At 35.8% G+C, this 25,332-nt stretch overlaps 1 protein-coding gene across 2 annotated transcripts in view; it reads left to right on the top strand.

Annotated features, from left to right (window-relative positions):
* The window catches only part of HMGCLL1 (3-hydroxy-3-methylglutaryl-CoA lyase like 1), a 244,547-nt gene that overhangs the window by 53,077 nt on the left and 166,138 nt on the right, over positions 1 to 25,332 (top strand). Inside the window, exon 1 of one of the 2 annotated variants that reach the window (XM_047418904.1) lies at positions 18,515 to 18,534. The exons of the other annotated variant lie outside the window; for it this stretch is intronic. The gene's annotated coding sequence lies outside the window, so the exon portion shown is untranslated. Of the gene's footprint in view, positions 1 to 18,514; positions 18,535 to 25,332 lie in introns of those variants that run through there. 2 annotated transcript variants of the gene reach the window in all.

Here is a 25,332-nt window from a genome sequence, read left to right as displayed (position 1 = left end):
TCACATGAGATACAATTATCTTCACAGTTTTTGACCACTCATCCACATACCTCTTCCCCAAATTTCTTTGTCACCAATTTTCCAATCATGGTTCTTCCAAGTCCCAAACCATCCAGCCAAACCATTGGCTTACAGCCCATGAATCAGTATATAATTGCAAATCTGACTATTTCTCCTTCCATGCACATTGCACAATCAGGTTCACTGCTCAAAGTTCGGCCCACTGGGAAGATTTCCCTTCATTGCTGTCCTTCAGGGATGTCCTAGAAAGGGGCTGTAGTGCTGCAGCTGTCCATTTTCGGGTGGTGCCTGAATATTGTGCAGAACCATCTGTGAACCAGGCTCTAGTCTTCTCTTCCTCTGTCAACTGATCATAAGGAACTCCCCATGAGGCCATTGGTGCAGGCTGGGGTAGAGAAGGCAGGGTGGCAAAAGTGGAGACCATGGGCATTTGAGCCACTTCCTCATGTAACTTACTTTTGCCTTCAGGACCTTCTCGAGTCCGGTCACTTATACACCACTTCCATTCGATGATGGAATGCTGCTGTGCACAACCCACTTCATGGCTAGATGGTTCTGAAAGCACCCAGTTCATGATAGGCAATTCAGGTGGCATGGTGACTTGACCCATAGTCAAACATCCAGTTTCCACAAAAGCCCATTAACAGGCCAGGAGCTATCTCTCAAAAGGAGAGTAGTTATCTGCAGAAGACGGCTGGGCCTTGTTCCAAAATCCTAGAGGCCTCCACGGCGATTCACCTATTGGAACCTGCCAAAGGCTCCAAACAGCATCCCTATCTGCCACTGACACCTCAAGCACCATTCGATCTGCTGGGTCATGTGGCTCAAGTGGCAGAGCAGCTTTCACAACAGCCTGGACCTGTTGCAAAGCCTTCTCCTGTTCTGGACCACATTAAAAATTGGCAGCCTTTCAGGTCACTCAATAAATGGGCTGGAAAAACACATCCAAATCAGGAAGGTGTTGCCTTCAAGATCCAAATAAGCCCACTAGGCATTGTGTCTCTTTCTTGGTTGTAGGAGGGGCCAAATGCAGTAACTTATCCTTCATCTTAGTAAGACTATCTCAACAGGCCCCACACCACTGGACCCCTAGAAATTTGACTGAGGTAGAAAGTCCCTGAATTTTAGTTAGATTTATTTCCCATCCCCTGGCATGCAAATATCTCACCAATAAGTCCAGTGTGTTTGCTACTTCTTGCTCACTGGATCCAATCTGCATAATATCATCCATGGAATGGACCAATGTGATATCTTGCAGGAGTGAAAAGGGATCAAGGTCCCTCTGAATAAGATTAGGACAAAAAGCCAAAGAGATGATATACCCCTGTGGTAGGACAGTAAAGGTATATTGCTGGCCTTGCCAGCTGAAGTCAAATTGCTTTTGGTGGGCCTTATGGACAGGAATGGAGGAAAAGATATTTGTCAAGTCAATGGCTGCATGCAATGTACCAGGAGATGTGTTAATTTGCTCAAGCAATGAAACCACATCTAGTACAGCAGCTGCAATTGGAGTCACCACTTGGTTAAACTCATGATAATCCAGTGCCATTCTCCAAGATCTATCTGTCTTCTGAATAGGTCAAATGGGAGAGTTGAATGGGGATATGGTGGGAATCACCACTCCTGGATCTTTCAAGTCCTTGAAGGTGGCACTAATTTGCACAATTCCTATAGGGATGCAATATTGCTTTCAATTTCTACTTTTCTAGGTAGAGGCATGGGTAAGCATGCACTGGGGAAAAGGAAATGATCAGACATTTCGGAGACTACTGGACACTGGCTCTGAACTGATGTTGATTACAGTGGATCCAAAACGTCATTGTGGTCCTCCAGGTAAAGTAGGGGCTAATGGAGGTCAGGTAATTAATAAAGTTTTAGCTCAGGTCTGACTTACAGTCGGTCCCTGGACTCATCCTGTTGTCATTTCCCAAGTGCCAGAATGCATAATTGGCATAGGCATAGACATACTTAGCAGCTGGCAGAATTCCCTGACTGGTAGAGTGAGGGCTATGATGGTGGGAAAGGCCAAATGGTGAGTGTATATACATATGCACATATATACACACATATATGTACACACATATATATCATATGCATATATATGTAATATATATTATATGTGTATATGTATATATGTATTATATATAATATGTTTGTGTATATATATTATTTGTGTATATATGTATATATGTATATATCTCTCTTCGGCTCTAATAGTATTTGCTCTGTATATCTGGGTGCTCCATTGTGGTGTGTGTATATATATGTGTATGTATATAAACACATGAACATCAAACATTATGCTCTTGCAAGACTGATGTCAATGAAGAAGTTAAGAAAGAAATTTTAAAATTTCTTGAAAGAAATGAAAATGGAAATACACCACACGAAAATCTATTGGATACAGCAAAAGTGGTACCAAGAGGAGAGTTTAGAGCAATAAGTGCCTACATCAAAAAGTAGAAAAACTTCAAATAAACAACCTAACAATATATCTTAAAGAACTGAAAAAGTAAGAGCAAATCAAACCCCAAATTAGAAAAGGAAAAGAAATAACAATGATCAGAGCAGAAATAAATGAAATTGAAGTGAAGAAAATGAAAAAAATCACCAAAATTAAAAGTTTTTTTGGGAAAAGATAAAGAAAACTGACAAATTTTAGTTGAGCCAGGCTAAGAAAAAAATGGAGGAATCAAACAAAGTCAGAGATGAGAAAGGATATATTATAACTGATAGAAATTCAAAGAATCATTGAGACTATTATGAGCAACTATATACCAATAAATTGGAAATCCTAGAAGAAGTATACAAATTCCTAGACATATACAACCTACCAAGATTGAACCAGGAAGAAATCCAAAACCTGAATGAACTGATATCAAGTAATGAGATCAAAGCCATAATAAAAAGTCTCCCAGCAAAGAAAAGCCCAGGACCCAATGCCTTCACTGCTGAATATTATTAAACATATAAAGAACTAACACCTCTCCTACTGAAACTATGCTACAAAAAACAGGGGAAGAGAAAAGATATTTCCAAACTCACTCTGTGAGGCAAATATTACCCTGATATTAAGGCCAGACCAAAACAAAACAAAAAAAGAAAATTACAGTTCAATTTATCTGATGAACGTTGATGTAAAAATCCTCAACAAAACAGTAGCAAACTAAATTTAAGAACACATTAAAAAGACCACTCATCATGACTTAATGGGATTCATTCCTGGGATGCAAAGATGGTTCAACATGCACAAATCAATCAATGTGATACATGAATGAAGGACAAAAACTATATGATCATCTCAACTGATACTAAAACAGCATTCGATAAAATTCAACATACTTCATAATAAAAACCATCAAAAAACTGGGTTTAGAAGGAACATACCTCAACATAATAAACGCCATATATGACAGACTGACAGCTAGTATAATATTGAATGAGTAAAAACTGAAAAGCCTTTCCTCTAAGATCTGGAACACAGCGAGGATGCCAACTTTCACCAATTATTCAACATAGTACTAGAAATTTTGGCTAGAGTCATCAGAAAAGAGAAAGAAATAAAGGGCATCCAAATTGGAAAGGAAGACTTCAAATTATCCTTGTTTGTAGATGACATCATTGTATATTTGGAAAAAACAATGACTCTACCAAAAACATATTAGAACTCATAAACAAATTCAGTAAAGTAAGATACAAAGTCAATATACAAAAATCAGTAGCATTTCTATATGCTAACAATGAACAATCTGAAAAAGAAATCAAGAAGGTAATACCACTTTAATAGATACAAATAAAATTAAATACCTAGGAATAAAATTAACCAAAGAAGAGAAAGTTCTCTATAATGAAAACTCAACTGATGTTAAAAAAGCATTTGATAAAATTTAACACACTTCATGATAAAACCTGTCAAAAAACTGGGTCTAGAAGGAACATACCTCAACAAAATAAAAGTCATGTATAACAGACAGACAGCTAGTATATCTTGAAAGGGTAAAAGATGAAAGCCTGTCCTCTAAGACCTGGAATATAACGATGATGGACTGGTGTGAGGGGAATGGTTTTGGGATGATTAAAGAACAGTACATTTATTGTGTACTTTATTTCTGTTATTATTATACTGTAATATGTAATGAAATAATTATGTAACTCACCATAATGTAGAAACAGTCGGAGCACTGAGCTTGTTTTCCTGCAACTAGATGGTCCCATCTGGAGGTGATGGGAGACAATGACAGATCATCAGGCATTAGAGTCTCATAAGGAGCACGCAACCTAGATTGCTCACATGGGCAGGTCACAGTAGGGTTCATGGTACTATGAGAATCTAATGCTGCTGCTGATCTGACAGGAGTTGGAGCTCAGGCGGTAATGTGAGCAATGGGGAGCAGCTATAAATACAGATGAATCTTTGCTCACTCACCCACCACTCACCACCCGTTGTGTTGCCCAGTTTCTAACAGGCCATGGCTCCCATCCATAGCCCAGGGTTTGGGGAGCCCCTACTATAAAACAGTCATGCAAGAAACTGAAAAGAATACCAAAAATGAAAACACTTTCATGTTAAAGTATTGGAATAATCAATGTTGTTAAAATGTCCATAATACCCAAGGCCATCTACAGATTCAGTGCAATCTCTATCAAAAGACCAATGACATTCTTTCACAGAAATAGAAAACAAATTCTTAAATTTATATGGAACCACAGAAGACCCAGAATAGCAAAAGCCATCCTGAGCAAAAAGAATAAAACTGGAAGAATCACATTACCTGAGTTCAAATTATACTGCAGAGTTCTAGTAACCAAAACAGCATGGTAGTGGCATAAAAACAGACCTATAGACCAATGGAAAAGCACATGGAACACAGAGATAAACTTACACATCTATAGTGAATTCATTTTCAGCAAAGGTATCAAGAACAAACATTGGAGAAAGGACAGCTTCATCAATAAATGGTGCTGGGAAAGCTGGACAACCATATGGAGAAGAATAAAACTAGACTTCTTTATACATATAAAAATCAAATCAAAACAAAACAAAAATCAAATCAAAATGGATTAAAAATTTAAATCTGAGACCTGAAATCATAAAACTACTAAAAGAAAACATTGGAGAAACTTTCCAGTACATTAGTCTGGGCAAATTGTGTGTGTGTGTGTGTGTCTGTGTGTCTGTGTGTGTGTGTGTGTGTAACACCCCAAAAGCACAGGAAATCAAAATAAAAATGGACAAATGGGATATTTTAAGTTAAAATGCTTCTATAAGCAAAGAAAATCATAATAATCCAAGTAAAAATGTACAAAAGGCTCAAATAGGCATTTCTCAAAAGAAGATATAAAAGGTAAACATATACGAAGAAGTGCTCAACATTATTGATTATCAGAGAAATGAAAATGAAAGCTACAAAGAAATATAATCTCATCCCAGTTAAAATGGCTTCTATCCAAAAGACAGGAAATAATAAATGCTGGCAAATATATGGAGAAAAGGGAACCCTGGTACACTGTTGGTGGGAATGTAAATTAGTACAGCCACTGTGGAGAAGAGTATGGAGGTTCCTCAAAAAACTAAAAGTAGAACCACCATATGATCCAGCAATTCCACTGATAGGTATATTGCCAAAAGAGAAAAAAATATCAGTGTATCAAACATGGGAATATCTGTACTCCTATGTTTACTGCAGCACTATTCACAATGCTCAAGATTTGGAAGCAACCTAAGTGTCCATCAACAAATGAATGGATAATAAAAAAAGGAGGTACTTATACACAATGGAGTACTCTCAGAAAAAAGAATAAGATCCCGTTGTTTACAACAACATGGATGGAAATGGAAGTCATTATGTTAAGCGATATAAGCCAGGCACAGAAAGACAAACCTCACATGTTCTTAATATTTGTGGGAACTAAAAATTTAGGCAATTGAACTCATGGAGATAGAGAGTAGAATGGAGGCTGGGATGGGTAGTGGAGCGGGGGCGGTGTGGGCATGGTTAATGTGTACCTAAATATAGTTAAATAGAATGAGTAAGATCTACTATTTGATAGCACAACAGAGTGACTGGAGATAACAATAATTTATAGTTCATTTAAAAATGACTTAAAGAGTATAATTGGAATGTTTATAATAGAAAGAAGTGATAAATGCTTGGGATAAGTACCCTATTTTCCCTGATGTGATTATTATACATAGTACGCCTGTATCAAAATATCTCACATACCCCATAAATATATACACCTACCACATACCCATAACAATTAATTTTTTTTGGAAAATAAGTATTTATTAACTTCTTGGTTTGTTGAAGAACCAAATAAATATAATTGACTAATTTTAAATATAAGTAGTCAACAGAACCCCCCTCCCATGTGCCACTATTGTTATTTCATTATGAATTTGAAATATGCGAAAAGGCATTAGAATCAGTAGTCTTATTAACTCTGCAGAAACAGTTTATGGTAAAAACAAAATCGTATTTAGATGCCATTTTATGAGGAATGTGAATTTAATGCTTTTACAGCCTGATTTTTTTATATAATTTTTTTTCACTACAATTTCACATGTATTCAACTTCGTAACACATGAGTGCACAGACCAAACATGAAAGTTCTTTTTCATGCCCCTGCACATGTTCCAAATTCATCCATCTGATAGCCTACCAACTTCATCTTCTTTTTGATCCCTATCTTTGACCTCTCCCTCTTCCCACCCCAGTTTTGCCTGCTTGCTCTGGAGGCCTGCTGACAATTTCTACCATCCAGGGATGGGTCCATTGTTTCCTGAAATCCGTGTTTTTCCTCCTTTTGTTTTTTCTTGTGTTTGGAGCAAACACCTCCTTTAGTAACTTCCTAAGAAAAGTTGCATGAACAGTAAACACTTTAAAATCTCACATGCCTGAAAATGTCATTAGTCTCCTCTCACACTTGATAACTAAGTTCACTAGGTGTAAAATTTTAGTTGAGAATCATTTCCTTTTAGAATGTTTAAGGTGTTTAGCTTTTGGTTCTTTTTAACTTTCAATGATTTTTAGCTTTTAAATTTCAGTAAAATCTCTTAGTTAACAAAATTGCTAATAATGTAACTAAAAAGTTACTTTTAACAATCTTATAACATACTTACTGCAGATACTTTGCATATAGACTCTTTCTTTTCTTTTCCTCTTCTCTCTGTAAGCTCTTAAGATATTGTCTTTGTTTCTAGAATTCTAAGTTTACAAATCATAGTACCTGTGTTGGCCTTTTTAAAACTGTTGTGCTGTAATATGGAAATTCATGTTCCTAACTTCTAAAAATACATTGAATTATTTTTTTGATAATTTCTTCTCTATTTGTTCTCTCTGACATGTTTATTATTCATATCCAAATACATTCTCAAAATTTATTTTCTCTTTTTTCTTTCTTACTAGAAGTCCACTAGAGAATAATTTTATTAATGATTTGCTCTATAGGCCACCATTTGTTCAAAAGGTCACTTTTTTTTTTTACTTTTTTTGGTGAACTACAACATACATACAGAAGAGTAAATAAAATATAAATGTACAATTAACAGCTAATTATAATACAAATGCCCACATAATATCTCCCAGGTCAAGCAATAGAACATTACCAGACCCCAGACGTTTCCAGTATGTCTCTTACCAATTATAACATCCTCCCTTCCCATTATCCTGATTTTTATTATAATTACTTCCTTGTTTTACACTATATTATAGTTTCATCACCTATGCATGCATTCCTAAAAATCATGATTTCACTTGACTAAATTTTGGTCTTTATATAAATGCAATCATACTACATGCATTATTTCGAACTTGCTTCATGTGTATATTATAGTTATAAAAATCCACGTTCCTTATAACTATGTTTTTTTATTGCTGTGTAATGTTCCATTGTATGAACATAGCATAATTTATTTATCCATTCTACCTATGATGGATATTTGGGTTGGTTCACACATTGAACAATTATGAGCCATCCTGCTGTGGACCTACTTGTACATATATTCTTGGGCATATGTGCATTTGTTTCCCTAGGGCATGGAGCTCTCTAGAAGGGGAATTGCAAGGATGCACAGAGGGTATATATCATCACCTTTACCAGATAATTCACTTTCCAAAGTGGTGGTACCAGTTTACAATTCCACCAGCAGCGGATGAAAATGTCGTTGCTCTACATTCTCGCCAACCAACGGTGTTTAATAAGACTTCTGAATTTCAGATTTGATTTTTGTAAAAGCTTCCACCTTAACTTTTAATAAAACACAATTATGAAGCTTAGTATGATATCTTCAGTGTATGCCCTCTCCTCACAACCTAGCAGAGCTGGCAACTCCATTAATACTGCTGCCCCCTGCTGTACAAGTGACAAAGTGGTCTATAGGTTGGTTTCATTTAGCATGGTTCCCAACCTCTTCACAGTCTAACTCCTTCTTCTGTGCATATGCTTCACTTTGTCCATGTCTCTTTTAGCATGCGGTTTCCAAGACTATAAATATTGTCTTCCCAAATGAGCTGGTGGGTGTGGAGAATCAGGCTTAATGAGAAGTTATTCTCAAACATCACAAAGATATGTCCAGGTGCAGGCTACTTGCCAAGAAAACAAGCAAGACAGGACATCATGAGTGCAAGATGAGTGTGGTCTAAGTCCTTAACTATTAAGAAACTTTAGGGTTTTTTTTGTGACAGGATGATTTGTGCAGCAAACCACCATGGCACACATTTACCTGTGTAACAAATATGCACATCCTGCACACATACCCGTGAAAGTAAAAGTTGGAAAGAAAAATTTTTAAAAATCTTATCCTTTTTTCTCTTTGTCTTATTATTTTTATCTGGCAGATTTTTTGAATTGTATCTTCCAAACTTCTACCTAGTTTTTCATTTATGCAGTCACATTTTAAATTTCCAATAGATCTTTTTTTGTTCTTGAAGTCTCCATTTTTATAATCTAATTTTTTTGTTATATAGCAAAATCTCTCTCACCTCTCTAAAGACATAACTAAGTTTCATAATGTTTTATTCTTCTTTCTTTACTGATATTTTTTACTTCTAGTTTGTTTAATTTTTTAAATTGTTTTGTTCTCAGTCATATTATTGTTTTTCTCATATATGAGTTAAGACTGTACTTGACTTTAATTTTCTAGTTAATAATTAGATTCTGTAAGGTCAGTGGGAAATTTTATGTTCAATATTCGATCTCATTACATGGTAGGCATTACAGTAGATTGGTCAGTTGGTTTATCAGTTCATTGTTGCCGTATCACAACTCAACTTCAAAATGACTAGCTTAAAACAGTATCCATTTATTCAGCTCATGATGGTTCAGGTGGAGTCTGAACTGGCCCAGCTGATCTCTCTGGATTAGCTCATGCTTCTGTGATCAACTGTCATGTTGGCTGGTAGCTGGATGATACAGGTTCTTAAGTGTGGTTGTTGGCAGGTTGTTAGCTAATGAATCTTTGTTTTTCTCCTCTCCTTGTCCAGCAGGTTAGATTGGACTTGTTTACATGATGGCCTTAGGATTCCAAGAGATCAAGAGATCAAGTCCCAGTAGGCAAGGGTTTATGAAGCATCAATTTTGTATCATGTTTGTGAATGTTCTTTGGCCAAAGCAAATCCCATAGCAAACATAGATTCAAAGGCTGGGGAAATTGTTCCCAAGTCTTAATGGGAAGATCTTCAATGTTACACTGCAAGATGCAAGGAGAAGAAGACTATATGGCTATTTTTATAATCTACTGCAGAATGGCTCCCGGCTGTTGCTTTACTGGGTATTTTCAAATGTCATATTATATAAATATTTTCTCTTAAGAAATTTTACCCAGGAATAAAATTTTAAGGGAATGTAAGTGTGGCTACAACTGTTTCAAGTGGGGGATAGGGCAGGGTCTTTTCAGTCATTATGCCAACTTTCTATTAAACTTTCTGTATTCATTTTGGTACTCTACACTCATCTTTGCCTATTGACATAAATCAAGAGACCCTCTAGCTTAACTTTCCCAAAGAATAAGCTTTCAGTCTTCTGTTAGTTGGTAGAGAGGAAGTTGTCTCATTATGTAGACAGCAGATAAAGCCTTAAACAAATGCACCTATGATGTTTGTAGCTGTAGTTAACAATGAAGTGGCTTTAAGGCAGGGCCTACCAGATACTATTATTCAGAAATAGTCTATAGGTAAATCTTTTCATGATGTACAAATTTCAAATGCTATATATTTTATTTATCAAACATTTAAATTAATATGTTGTAAGCCAAAGACATTTCACAAAAGTCTTACCAACCGTCCTAATTACATTGGATTAGGTGATTGAGCTGGGAACTCTTCATATAATAACTTCTTTCAAGCCTTTCCCTTTACACTCCACCTGCAAGTACATTTTATAGAGGCACAAGGTGCCTGCAAATCTTTGAGCCTTGAAATCTTCTGCAGTATTTTCCCAACTGCTAGCTTGAGATTCACCTTTGTCTTTTCTGCTGGGGCAGTTATTCCTCATGTGTACGCTTTCTAGATTTCAACATTTTGTTGCTATCATTTCCTTTCTTTTTTTTCCTATGATTTTTGGGTTTTTAATCATAGCATAATTTTTATAGGAGTGAGTGGTGGAAGTAGACATGCTTCCCTCTTTTTTCTTTTTCTTTTTACTTTTATAAACAATGCTAAAATTATCATTCATTTATGTATAATCTGGTGTTAGAAAAAGTCTATGCTGTTTACACTAAATGCCAATCCAAATAAAATGTGTATTTGGTAAATGGCAACAAAATACAGTTTATAATTACTATTTCTATTTATAAATTAATTCATGAGACAAGAGCTAATATATATTTCATATAACTTTTTTTTAAAGAGATGGGGTCTTGTTATACTGCTCACGCTGCTTTCAAACTCTTGGCCTCAAAATCCTCCCTCCCTGGCCTCCCAAAGTGCTATGAGGCTCTGCACCCAGCCTTACATATAAGATTTAATAGAAAAAGTGACCATATGTCAGAATATTGTTGCTGTTGCTTAGACCGAATGACAGATTTTTATTGTAAGAATTCTTGAAGTTTTATAACTTTAAGATTAAATGCTAGAAAGTTATACACTAAGTAACCTATAAAAGTTGAAAATAATAAAACCTAAACTTCCTATAGATCAAAATGGGCTAACAGAACAAAAATATAAGTGTTACAGATATCTTGACATCTTAAATTAATGAAGAAAAAGTAACTTTGGCAGAATTTTAATAAACGGAAGAAATTATTTATGTGCATGTGATTAGAATTAATTCATACTATGAAAATATATAATTTCGGTGTTCTTAGCTTGGGCCGCTATAACTAAATACCATAGACTCAGTGACTTAAACAATAGACATTTATTTCTCATAGTTCTGGAGGCTGGGACATCTCAGATTAAGATGCTGGAAGATTCAGTGTTTGGTGAGGGCCTTCTTCCTGATTTGCAGACCGTGCTTCTTATTATATCCTTAACTGGCAGAGAGAAGAAGAAAGATGTCTCTAAGTTCTTCTTATTAGGTCACTAATACCATCATTAGGGCTCCACTCTCATGAACTAAATATCTCCTACAGATCTAATCTTCACATTTCATTACATGGAGGGTTAAGGCTTCAACATATGAATCCTTGGAGAGACAGAATTCAGTCCACATCCTATGGTCATTTTTAATGCAATTTATTTGTATAAGACATCTGCATATTTCCACATGAATTTACATATATCTAATCAAATAGAAAAATCATATGAAGGAAATGTGGATATTTTAGAAAAAATGACATTAAAATTATATCAATATTTTTCAATACTTGCTATTGTTCAGAATATAATATTAGTTTTATTCATTAAAACAGAAGTATTAGTGCTTTTTCTTTTTTAAAATTTTATTTTACTTTAAGTTCTGGGATACATGTGTAGAATGTGAAGGTTTGTTCCATAGGTAAAGGTATGCCATGGTGGTTTGCTACATCTATCAACACATCACCTTGGTATTAAGTCCTGCATGCATTAACTATTTGACCCAATACTCTCCCTCCCCTTGTCCCACTGGCAGGCCCTGGTGTGTGTTGTTACCTTCCCTGTATCCATGGGTTGTCATTGTTTGGTTCCCACTTATGAGTGAGAAAATGCAGTGTTTGGTTTTCTGTGCCTCTGTTAGTTTGCTGAAAAATGTTATCTTCCAGCTAAATCCATGTCCCTGCAAAGGACATGATCTTATTCCTTTTTATGGCTGCATAATATTCCATTTTCTTTATCCAGTCTATCATTGATGGGCCTTTGAGTTGGTTCCATGTCTTTGCTATTGAGAATAGTGCTGCAATAAACATACGTGTGCATGTATCTTTATAATAGAATGATTTATATTCCTTTGGGTATATAGCCAGTAATGGGATTGCTGGGTCATATGGTATTTCTCGTTCTAGATCCTTGAGGAATCGCCACACTGTCTTCCACAATGGTTGAACTAATTTACATTCCTACCAACAATGTAAAAACGCTCCGATTTCTCCACAGCCTCACAAGCATCTGTTGTTTCTTGACTTTGTAATAATCACCATTCTGACTGGTGTGAGATGGTATCTCATTGTGGTTTCAATTTGCATTTCTCTAATGATAAGTGATGTTGACCTTTTTTCATATGTCTATTGGCTGCATAAATGTCTTCTTTTGAGAACTGTCTGTTCATGTCCTTTGCCCACTTTTTGATGGAGTTTTTTTTCTTGTGAATTTGTTTATGTTTCTTGTAAATTCTGGATGTTATACCTTTGTTAGATGGGTAGACTGTAAAAATGTTCTCCCATTCTCTAGGTTGCCTATTCAATTGGATGGTAGTTTCTTTTGCTGTGCAGAAGCTCTTTAGTTTAATTAGATCCCACTTGTCAATTTTAGCTTTTGTTACATATGCTTTTTGTGATTTTATCATAAAATCTTTGCCCATGCCTATGACCCTGAATGGTATTGCATAGATTTTCTTCTGGAGCTTTTATGATTTTGGGTTTTACATTTAAGTCTTTAATCCATCTTGAGTTAATTTTTATAAGGTGTAAGGAAGGGGTCCCTTTTCAGTTTTCTGCATATGGCTAGCCAGTTTTCCCAGTACCATGTATTAAATAGGGAATCCTTTCCCCATTGCTTGTTTTTGTCAGGTTTGTCAAAGATCAGATAGTTGTACATGTGTGGTCTTATTTCTGAGGTCTCTATTCTGTTCCATTGGTCTATGTGTCTGTTTTGGTACCAGTACCATGCTGTTTTGGTTACTGTAGCTTTGTAGTGTAGTTTGAAGTCAGGTAGTGTGATGCCTCCAGCTTTGTTCCTTTTGCTTAGGATTGTCTTTTCTATACAGGTTCTTTTCTGGTTCCACATGGATTTTAAAGTAGGTTTTTTTTCTAATTCTGTGAAGAATGTAAATGGCAGTTTGATAGAAATAGCATTGAATCTATAAATTACTTTGGACAGTATGGCCATTTTCATGTTATTGATTCTTCCTATCCACAAGGATATAATGTTTTTCCATTTGTTTTTGTCCTCTCTTATTTCCTTGAGCAGTGGTTTGTAGTTTTCCTTGAAAAGGCCCTTGGCATCCCTTGTTAGCTGTATCTAGGTATTTTATTATCTTTGTAACAATTATGAATGGGAGTTCATTCATGATTTGGCTCTGTGCCTGCCTGTTGTTGGTGTATAGGAATTCTTGTGATTTTTGTACATTGATTTCTTATCCTGAGACTTTGCTGAAGTTGCTTATCATCTTAAGGAGCTTTTTGGCCTGAGACGATGGGGTATTCTAGATAAAGTCATCTACAAACAAGGACAATTTTACTTCCTCTCTTCCTATTTGAATACCCTTTATTTCTTTCTCTGGCCTGATTGCCCTGGCCAGGACTTCCAATACTATGTTGAATAGGAGTGGTGAGAGGGGGCATCCTTTTCTTGTGCTGGTTTTCAAAAGGAATTCTTTCAGATTTTGCCCATTCAGTATGATATTGGTTGTGGGTTTGTCTTAAATAGCTCTTATGAGTTTGAGATATGTTCAATCATACCTAGTTTATTGAGAGTTTTTAACATAAAGAGATGTTGCATTTTATCAAAGGCCTTTTTTGCATCTATTGAGATAAGCATGTGGTTTTTGTCATTTTTAAGTGACAGATTATGTTTATTGATTTGTGTATGTTGAACCTGCCTTGCATCCAGGAGTTAAGCTGAGTATATCATGGTGGATAAGCTTTTTGAGGTACTCTTGGATTTGGTTTGCCAGTATTTTATTGATGATTTTGCATCAGTGTTCACCAGGGATATTGGCCTGATGCTTTCTTTTTTTGTTGTGTCTCTTTCAGGTTTTGGTATCAGGATAACGCTGGCCTCATAAAATGAGTTAGGGAGGAGTCCTTCCTTTTCAATTGTTTGGAATAGTTTCAGAAGGAATAGTACCAGCTCCTTTTTTTACCTCTGGTAGAATTTGGCTGTGATTCAGTCTGGTCCTTTTAGTTGTGATGTTAGGGTGTCTATTTGAGATCTTTCTAGCTTTCTAATGTGAACATTCAGTGCTATAAATTTTCCTCTTAACACTGTTCTAACTGCATTCCAGAGATTCTGGTATGTTGCATCTTTGTTCTCATTGTTTTCAAAGAACTTCTTGATTTGTGCCTTAATTTCATTATATACACAGGAGTCATTCAAAAGCAGGTTGTTCAATTTCCTTGTAGTTTTATGGTTTTGAGTGAGTTTCTTAATCTTGAGTTTTAGTTTGATCACACTGTGGTCTGAGAGACTGTTTGTTATTATTTCAATTATTTGGCACTTGCTGAGGAGTGTTTTACTTCCAATTATGTGATAGATTTTTGAGTAAATGCCATGTGAAAAAGATTTTCTTTCTCCTTCACTTATGAAGCTTAGTTTGGTGGGATATGAAATTCTGGGTTGAAAAATTCTTTTTTTTAAGAGTGTTGAATATTGGTCCCCACTCTCTTCTGGCTTGTAGAGTTTCTGCTGAGAGATCCACTGTTAATCTGATGGGCTTCCCTTTGTAGGTGAATAGGCCTTTCTCTTTGGCTGCCCTTAAAATGTTTTCCTTCATTTCAATCTTGGATAATCTGATGATTATGTGTCTTAGTGTTGATCTGCTCATAGAGTATCTTACTTGCGTCCTCTGGATTTCCTGAATTTGAATGTTGTCCTTTCTTGCTAGGTTGGGGAAGTTCTCCTGAATGATATCCTGAAGTGTGTTTTCTATCTTGGTTCCATTCTCCTCATCTCTTTCAAGTGCTCCATTCAGTCATAGGTTCAGTCTTTTTACATAGTCCCGTAGTTCTCAAAGGCTTTGTTCATTCCTTTTCATTCTTTTTTCTCTAATCTTGTCTGCCTGCCTTATTTCAGCAAGATAGTCTTCAAGCTCTGATATTCTTTCTTCTGCTTGATCAATTTAGCTATTGATATTTATATATGTTTCATGAAATTCTCGTGCTGTGTATTTCACCTCCATCAGGTCATTTATGTTCCTCTCTAAAGTGGTTATTCTAGATAACACCTCCTATAACCTTTTATCGTGGTACTTAGATCCTTTGCATTGGGTTAGGACATGCTCCTTTACCTAAGCAAAGTTTGTTATTACTCACCTTCTGAAGCCTACTTCTGTCAATTCATCTAGCTTATCCTCCATCCAGTTCTGTACCCTAGCTGGAGAGGCATTGCGATCATTTGGAGGACAAGAGGCATTCTGACATTTTGGGTTTTCAGCATTTTTTCATTGATTATTTCTCATCTTCATGAGTTTGTCTAGTTTTGATCTTTGAGGCTGCTGATCCTTGGATGAGCCTTTTGTGAAGACTTTTTTTGGTTGATGCTGTTGTTGCTTTCTGTTTGTTTGTTTTTCTTTCAATAGTCAGGTCTCTCTTCTGTAGGGTTTGCTGGGGGTTCACTTCGGGCCCTGTTCATCTGGGTCACTCTTGCACCTGCACCTAGAGATGTCACTTAAGGAGGCTAGAGAACAGCAAAGACAGGTGCTTCCTCCTTCCCCTGGGATCTCTGACCTCAAGGGGCACCGACATGATGCCAGTAGGAATGCTCCTGTATAAGGTGTTGGGCAGCCCCTGTTGGGGGTTCTCATGCAGTTGGAGAGCATGGGAACAAGGACCCATTTAATGAAGCATTTTGGCTGTCCCTTGGTGGACGAGTTGTGCTGCCCTGGGGGGAAACCCACTTGTCAGGGTTGCCCAGCTTCCTCAGAGCTTGCAGGAGGAAAGACTAAGTCTGCTGGTCCATGGAGGCTATGGTTACCCCTTCTCCTAGGAGCTCAGGCCCAGGGAGATCAGAGTTCTGTCCCTGAGCCCTTCGCTGGAGTTGTTGGAGTTCCTGCTTCCCACCCAGTGAGAAGGAATGGGTCAGGGTCTGGCCTAAAAGGCTGTGTGGCCATGGGGTGCCACAGCCAGTGTGCTGTGCTGTGGGAGAATACCTCTTTGGACCAAGCTATCCAGTTTCCCCGGCTCCAGCAGAGGAAAAGTGCATCCTTGAGATACAGTGATGGCTGCTGCCCTTTCCCCTGGGAATTTAGTGTCTTAGGAAGCTAACATTCACAGTGATGGCTGCCACCCCTCCCCCAGGGAGCTCAGTTGACTTAGCAGGCAGCAGCAGTGGTGATGGCTGCCCCTCCCTCAGGGAGCCCTGTTGTTTTAGGTAGATTCCAGCTGAGAGGAGGCTGAGAATCTGCAAGGCTCTGTGATTGGGACGCAAGGCCCCGGTGGCGTGGGCTCACCAATGGGATCTTTCGATCCGTGGGTTGCACAGTTCTAAGGAAAAAGCATGGTTTCCCTGGCTGGGTACCACTCTCACTCACCAGCTCCCTTGGCTGGGGGTAGGGCCTCCCCTGCCCTGTGTGGCTCACGCACCACCTTGCTCTTCTCTCCTCTCCGTGGGTCACACTAACCATCTAATCAGTCCTGATGACAGAACCTGGATACCTTGGTTGCTGGTGCAGGATTCGCACACTGCTTTGGTTCTCCTTGGTGAGTGTCTCCCATCACGCTGCTGCTAGTTGGCCATCTTGGCTTCGCCCAGTATTCGTGCTTTTCAATGTGCTTAAATGCAACTTTAAGAATTGTTGTTCAAGTAGATTTATAATGCCCTAGGTTTTACACAGTTTTATTTTTAGAAATTATTTTAGGTGAGACTGGAAAATAGTTCTTTTTTCTTAATTTTCATACACACATTGAATTAAGAGGATAAGAAAGGAGGAGTTATCATAATGAGTCAGGCTTTTTTTCTTTATTTTGCTGCTATTTTTAACTGGCCTTCTTGGCTGCCCTAAAATTAATTTTGGGGGAATCCGATTAGCCTGTTTTTTTTCCCTAAATTCTTTTTAATTCTCAGGAACTTTAACTGAAAAATGCCTGATTCTCTAACCGAGAAACATAAACTTTATTTCAGTCTGGACCAGGGCAAGGGCGAAACTAAACATCCACAAATCTCTCTGGAGTCACTGACTTATTCATCCTGTAAACTCAGAATTTGTCTCTGGCAGAGTCAAGTGCAAGAGTGTTGACTTTCTTTAAAGACGATATATGTAACTGTATAAGTAACAGTGTCCCCATGGAGTACATATTAAAGGACACATCATGAGACTTTTGAAGGAAGATCAGAAAAAGTAGTAGCAGTAGGTTCTAGTTGGCTAAGGAAGCAGTGTAGAGTGGGATAAACTATATAAGAAGTGAGAATGCCAAGATGTATATCCTAGATGTTTACTAATATAAGAGGCAAATTAATGTGTATTAAGGAGAGAGAAAATGGTCTTGGTCTAGCAGAAAAGAGGACTGGAATTAGCTGCATTAAAAGAGCAGAAGTATTTATTTTTTTTCATGTGAGATTAGAATGAGAGAAGAATCAAAGGGTTTTAGTGTGTTTTGTTTCTTTCATCTTATAGATGTGTCATCTGAGCAACTGAAAGGATGACTTGTTCTTCAACTCACAAATATTTAGTGGCACAGGTGGAACCAGGTTTCAAAGAACCTTGTCTCTTCTAGTCTGGATTCTAGGAGAAGTAGATTTTTGAGGAGGAGTTTATTTTGCACAATATTTATTAAGGAAGGCTCTTGGGATCAACACCTGGGAAAGGGAAGGGAAGAAAGCAAGAGTGAGTAGAGAGAAAAGTCAAGCTAGTGACAGTTGCAGCTGACCCCAGTCGGAGCTTTAGGTGTTAGAATGATCTTTGGCATTGTCTCCTTTTGGGCTGAGATGCTGGTCCTTTATTTCCTTACAGGGACCAGTCTTTCTGTGTGGGCGGCCGTGAGAAAGGGCATGACCTTGGTTGAGGTGGCCTGCAGCTCAGGCAATCCCTGAAGAGACTGACAGCTGAAGACTTTCTGTTGTCAGCATCCCCAGAAGCTAGTGCAGCAACTCTTTCTCAGAAGGAGAATCTGGAGGCACATTATAGCATCCACCACATTACCTGCTCATCCAAACTTCTTTTGCACTTTAAATGATGGAAGCATTCTCCTATAAATATTGGTAATTGTTTTTCCAAACTGTGGTAAGTAAATGTAGTTGAGAGCTACTTAATGCTCATGAAAAATCTCAGAGTAATTTTTGTTAGAAATGCAAAATTTGCTTTCTCAAACTTTTTTTAACAGGAAAAATTAACCCCAAATTTTGTGGAGTTGTGACAAATACTTATCTCCATTCAAAGCATAACAACAAAAGTGAGCTATTCTAGTGCTACTCATCTCATGCACCTGCATAGTATATCAGAGAGACAAGCAGAGAGTGTTAGCTTCCTATTGCTGATTAACTAATTAACAAAAACTTAATTGCTTAAAAATAATAACAAATCTTATGATTCTAGAAGTTAGAAATTGAAAATGCATCTCTATGGGTTAAAATCAAGCAAACATAGCATCTTCAAATCTCTTCTCTCCTCTCTCTCTTTCTCTCTCTCCCTTTCACTGTGATATCTCCTTATTTTTTTCTTTGAGTTTAAACTTTCTGCCTCTTCTAAGGTGCTGTGTGATTACATTGGGCCCACCTGGGAATCCAGGATAATCGCCTCACCCAAAATCCTTTATCTTAATCACATGCGTAAAGTCCCTTTTGCCATGTAAAATAACATATTCACAGGTTTTGGGGATTTGGACAAATATATATATGAGGGAATTCTGTCTACAACACAGAATAAAACTAATTTTAGCATGAATTATGTTTGTGGTGACATCTTTGATGTAGAAATGTAGATCATCCCATATAAAAATATCTGCCTAAATATTTTTATAAATTTTTAAAAAAACTATTAGTTTATACTGTATAGAAGAGCAAATAAAAAATTATGTCTAGATAGCCTGTGCAACATTGATTGGCTAATGGCAGAACACTGGGCTAGGAACCAAGATACTTCCATTCAAATCTTATCTCTGCCACTAACTGATTATGAAAACTCACAGTTCTCAGTATTTTTTTCTAAAAGTCTGGTTGTCTGTCCAAGATATAAAATATAAATATATTTCTTATTTTAACCTTAAATGGGATATTTGTCCCAATAATGGATATATGTCGTGTGTATAAAAAGTCATTGAGAAATCTCAAATATTAATTTTTACTTATTGTTTGGATTTTGTTGTGTCCTTTCACCAAATTTTTTTATCGGAAGGTGAACTTCTGTCTGTAGCTCGAATTCTTGTTTCCTGTTTCCCTTACTCATTTCTTAGCTCAAAAAGAAGTAGAGGATTTACAGAACAATGAAATATTTAAAAAGTAGTAATAGAAGTACACAGGAGAATGATCTTTGTACTGGATAACTAACTCTTCAATAACCTGAACCTCTTCAATTCATCAAATAGGAAAATGTTAAAGAGAATATCTTACACTATTACATCCATTTCAAAAAAGTAAGCAAGAAAAATTGTACTGCATTGTTATTTTGCTGGAGGGAAATTACAAAGCACCTATATCATTGATGGAAAATTAAAATGGCCCTAAGGTCTACGTAACAGTTAGAAACGATTTATGAAAATAAATATTGCAACATTTGTAGTGGATTTCTAACTCAGGAGTTTGGGAAGGTGATTTAGAGAGTTGATGCAGTGGTAATACTGGTTACTCACTATTACTGGAGGATACAGCACTATAGAAAATAGAAAACCATCAATCTTAGAATATTTGCTGTTAGACCTGGTAGGAATACATAATTAGAGAGCTGTTGTGAATCAAGATATGTAAATCAATATATGAAAATGAGTTTTTAGGATAAGAAGTATAATCCTAAGCTCAAGCAAAATTAGGCATCAAATAAAAAATATCAGACACATTTGAACAGGAATTTTTCACCAATATCTATAAATATATTACAAGGATGTTTATTACAATATTATGTAGAGTAATTAGAAATGTGTAACATAGATGCAAATGTATTTAATTATTATGCAGAAATATCATTCTAGGTTGAGTTATCTGGGAAACAGGTACTGTGATGCAGTTTAATGTGCAAGATATTTATTAGGAAATATTCTTGGAATTAATACCTGTGAAAGGAAGGGAAGGGAAGCAGGATGGGATAAAAGGAGTAGTCGGAGTGTAACGTAAGCCTAACAATAGCCTCTGGAGCTAATACAGACAGGCAGAGTTAGCCCATCTTAAATGGAATGACCAGTGTTTTTACCCTTTCCTTCTTTACTCATTGGATATAGACCACCCTGGGGAAGGTGCTGCTCTCTGCACTGAGGCAGTCCTTGTAAGTACTGCCAGCTGAAGGCTGTCTGCCTTCCCAGTGCCTTTCTAGTAGCTGTGCCTACTACTTCTTTTTAGTGGAATCTGAACAGCAGATCTCCATGTTTACCGTGCATAGCACATTATGATTTTAAATAGCAACAAATAAAATAATGTAAACTACACTTATATCATCTTCAGCTAATTAACTTCCATGCACTTTACTCATTTAAAAAATAGTCACTTATACATAGGATAGTGGAAAATTAATACATGTAAAAATGCTTACAATATTCCCTGTAATGTAGTGCCCACTGTGTGAATGTTGGGGATTATGAAGTACTAACATAACTCCGTGTATTCAGAGAGAGTAAAATCTTCATAGCTGGTATCATAATAGTGATAGTTGTTCTGTAGATTTGGGTTTTCTGCCAAATGGAATATTTTCAAGAAAAATATTTCATTTGTTATTAATGCAAAAACTTTTTAAAAAGTTTAAGAAAAACTTAAAACTACAAGTTTTATTTGTCAATAGCCCTTGAAAATTCCATTGTTTTTCATTCTATTTTTAATATGTCCCTCTAGTATAATATACTAACTTTCAAAAATTTCTTTTGTCTTTATCAAAACCTTCTAGAAATAAATGCAGCGTTTAAAATGTATTTTTAAAGTTACAATATATAAAGCTAGAAAACTTGAGAAACACAAAGTTAATTCAATCTAATCTAGAAATATAAATTCAATATTAAGACCTAAAATGTACTAATTATGTGTGCTTGCTACATAATTTGGCAAAAGGTTTGTTTTGTTTCAAAATAACTATGGAAGTTAAAGAATGTATATGATTTTCTTTTCCTCAAACTAATTTATATGTAATATTTGTTTTCTGATGAATTGACTTAAAGGTTCATATTTCAGGGCTTCTTTGACAGTAGGAAACTTGGCAAGAGCTCTGTAGATAAAACATTCACTAGGGGTGAAGCCTGCAGCAACTGGGCCAACTCCCTTGCTGCACTTTACTTTTCTCTAAATGCTTTCCTTTTAAAGAAAAAAAAGGGAAGGAAAATTTTGGCTGAAACAATTTTTTGAATAACCTTTCTCCCCACCAGACTCTCCAGACACCCAACAAACTACTTCTCTATGGGAATAGATATTAAATCAATATAATTTTTGTATGTACTTATGGAATAAAATCAATTTACATTTCTTTATTGAGTATTTTTGCTGAGAAAACAGTCTAACTTCAATATGCGAGAAAACCACTGCTTTTTAGTTTGCCCCTCATAAGGAAAAGTAAAGCATTCTTGTGGCAGAAATCTAAGCTACAAAAAGAGTTACGGATTTTTCATACATACATTTTATAGAAACATAAACATGCTTATATAACTTTGGTTTTTTCAGAGTTAAGTACGCTCACTGTCTTAATAATTTTCAGACTGGTGAGATGTAAGAAAAGACTAAAATTAATGGTGGGCCATAGGAAAGATACTACCAGTTTTCCCCAAGAAGACCTTCTGTGGTGACATAAAATTGAGTAGGCATGGACATTTTTCTGTTTCCCAAATCCTCGAGTGAATAAATCCAATGCTATGATGACTGAGAAGACTTCAGTGTTTATAATATGTACATTCCTGTGTTGAGTGTACAGAAGAGGTGGCAAAACTGTTCTCCCTGAGCAATGAGAACAACTGATATGAATAGATATTTGTGTGTAGCAAGAGTGCTCACAAATACCTCCCTAACCCTTTAAAAAAGTGGAATTTGTTAACTAGAGATAATACTTAAATTAAATTATAACCTAAATATAGAAGTTCAAAAGAGTGCCAAATATCTGAAATTATCAAGTAAGAATGAGTTAGAGATAGTATGTCAACCTGCTATAAGGAAAAGGTTAAAATATTCTCTTAGGTTATGTAATATTTAATAGTAGTGTCTATTTTCAGATTGGTACTGATAGTTTTATTAAGTTGTCTAGAAACTAGAATAATTTTATTAAGTTGCTTAGAAACGAGAATAATTTATCTGAAGAGGCGGTAGACTTAATACTCAGAAATAACAGGTGATATCATTTTTATACTATTTCCCCAGTCTCTCTTAAATCAGGAATTCTCAGTTTGGTCTCTGGAACAGCAGCAGCATCATTACATGGGAACTCGTTAAAAAACCAAATTCTCAAGCACCACTGCAGACCTACAAAATCAAAATTTCTGGAGTAAGGTCCTTCAGTCTTCTTAAGATGATAACCATTGTTTTAGAAAAAATTACATGCCTTTAAACAAGAAATGTTATTTTATTAAATAATACACAGATCTCAACTTTTATATGTATAGATTTTAAATCACATGCAGTTTAGACATTAGCTGATGCATTTCCAATTGGTTTCAATACATGGTGATGGCAATGGTTCATTCCTCAAGATCATCTCGCATCTGTATTTAAGTATCTGCTTGGTCAATTTTTGAATGTGACATTTTTTACATCTTATTTGTTTTGTTATCCAAAGAATGTAACACAGAAAAAATATCGAAGTGCCACTGCTACTTATTTAAATAGAATTCTCACAGATTCTATGTAAAATAATACTTGATGATTAATGCCTAATTGTTAATTATTAAGTTCACCAGAAGTTGCAAATTTTTAGTCCCACCTACATACTTATAGAACTTAGTCCTATTGATTTTGTGTCTAATCATAGAAGAAAATACAAACAAGTCAAGAGAATGTATGAAATGCGGGAAACATCATTTAAGATCATGATTTAAAGGAAAATGTAATTTTAGATTGTATTATATTTTTTGTCTTACCAGGAATGGAAACATTTTTATTTTCCCTTATAGTTTTGGATATTCATTTTTTGTGGGAGTGTAAATAACATTAACAAAAAAAGTCTTCAAGCTACAAGATCTATGAGGTATCTCCTGGAGCCAGAGAGGAAAATATAGAATGCCACCTCTACTCCCCACTATGCTCTGCATACATTCTGCTGATTAGATTATTTGACCATGTATTTTTATTTATCATAATCTTTCCATATTTTATTACATACGTCTAAGAGATGAAGAGCCAAAGAAAAAATCTGAGAGATAACGGGGCATTTTATCAAAATTTCTCCTATTTATTATATTTAAAAATGAAGAAATTTTTGTGGAAACTGTAAGGAAAGGCCCATAAGGAGAACACATTAGGATTGAATGGATTGCATTTGTTTAGACTGAAAACAAGTGCGTAGAAAAGTAATTTCTAAAAAATAGAAGAGAAAAAGCATTTAGCTCAAATCATATTACTTATGTTTGAAATATTGGGGTTGTATAGTCTTTATTTAATATGTGAAATTAACATTATAAAATATACCAGTGAAGAAATTTGCTCAAAATCAGTGATTAATAGCCAAGTCAATTTTTAAAGCATTAATTTATATTCAATTTACCTTTCAGTCAAAAATGTTTTAAAATTCGAAAGTGAATGGACTTACAAGGAAAAAAAAGTTTTTAGGGCTAAACAGCTTGAATCCTTGTGTGGTAGACTGATTTAAAAAATGACCGCAATTCTACATTTATTTATATATTTATGCCCTTTGCAGTGGCTTCAAGGAGTAAAGTTGATATCCTTATTTCTTGAGTTTAGATTAAATTTGGGACTTGTTTTGGTTAATAGAATGCAGTGGAATTTATAGTATGCAAGTTAAGAGACCTGTGTGCTTGCCCTGTTTTTATTTGAAAACTTCCTAGCTGCTATGCGAACCAGTCAAAGCTATCCTGCAGAATAATGTGAATCGTGCAGCCCAGTCACCTGCATACCTGCAGTCACCAGTTAGCTGTCAGCCATACAGACTAGTGAGGTCATTCCTGAACAGCTGGTCCCTTACCTTTAGTGACTGACTGTAGATGCTGGAAAAAGCCCAGCCAAGACTAGCCAAGCCTGCCTCAAATGAGCAGCACCATCCAATTGACCTGCAGTCTCACAATTCCCAAGAAAAACAGTTTTCATTGTTATATGGCACTGAGGTGTTGTCATTTGTGGCAATCAGGATTGCTATATTTAATAAGTAAAATTCAGGATGCCCAGGTAAATCTAAATTATTTCTAATAAGATATATTACATTGACATAAAATGTTAAAAATTATTTTTTATTTATTGGAAATAAATTATAAGTATTTAAATTACATACCTCTTTCTTAAACTATGATTTTCTCATGATTTGGCTCAATAAACAGTTCCTTGTTTTTGCATAATTTGCTTATCAGATTTTTTGTAGTTGCAGTCTATGTTCCATTTACATTGTAACATAGCTTCTACAATAGTTAAATCTAACTTATTTTGTTATTTGATTCATTGAGCATTAATGAGAAAATGCATGCAACATTAGCATTATAGGTTGGTTTGCAGAACACATACTGGGGAAAGTTGACAACTGTGATAAATGATTTTCAAATTTGATTTGTTGAAGCACATAAAAATGTTTTTTATGTTAATTTTTTTATTCTTTAGAATTACATTGCATATCTTGATTAATATATTTTTAAAAGGCTGTCCATTAACAAAAAGAACATTGTTGTCTTCAACAATACACATGATTATTTCACGTGTTTTCATGCTGTAATAGTATTTACTAGCATCCATATATAAGAATTAA

The sequence above is a fragment of the Homo sapiens genome, chromosome 6 (assembly GCF_000001405.40).
Source record: "Homo sapiens chromosome 6, GRCh38.p14 Primary Assembly".
Classification (NCBI taxonomy): Eukaryota; Metazoa; Chordata; class Mammalia; order Primates; family Hominidae; genus Homo; species Homo sapiens.
This window is presented reverse-complemented; position numbering and strand designations above follow the sequence as displayed.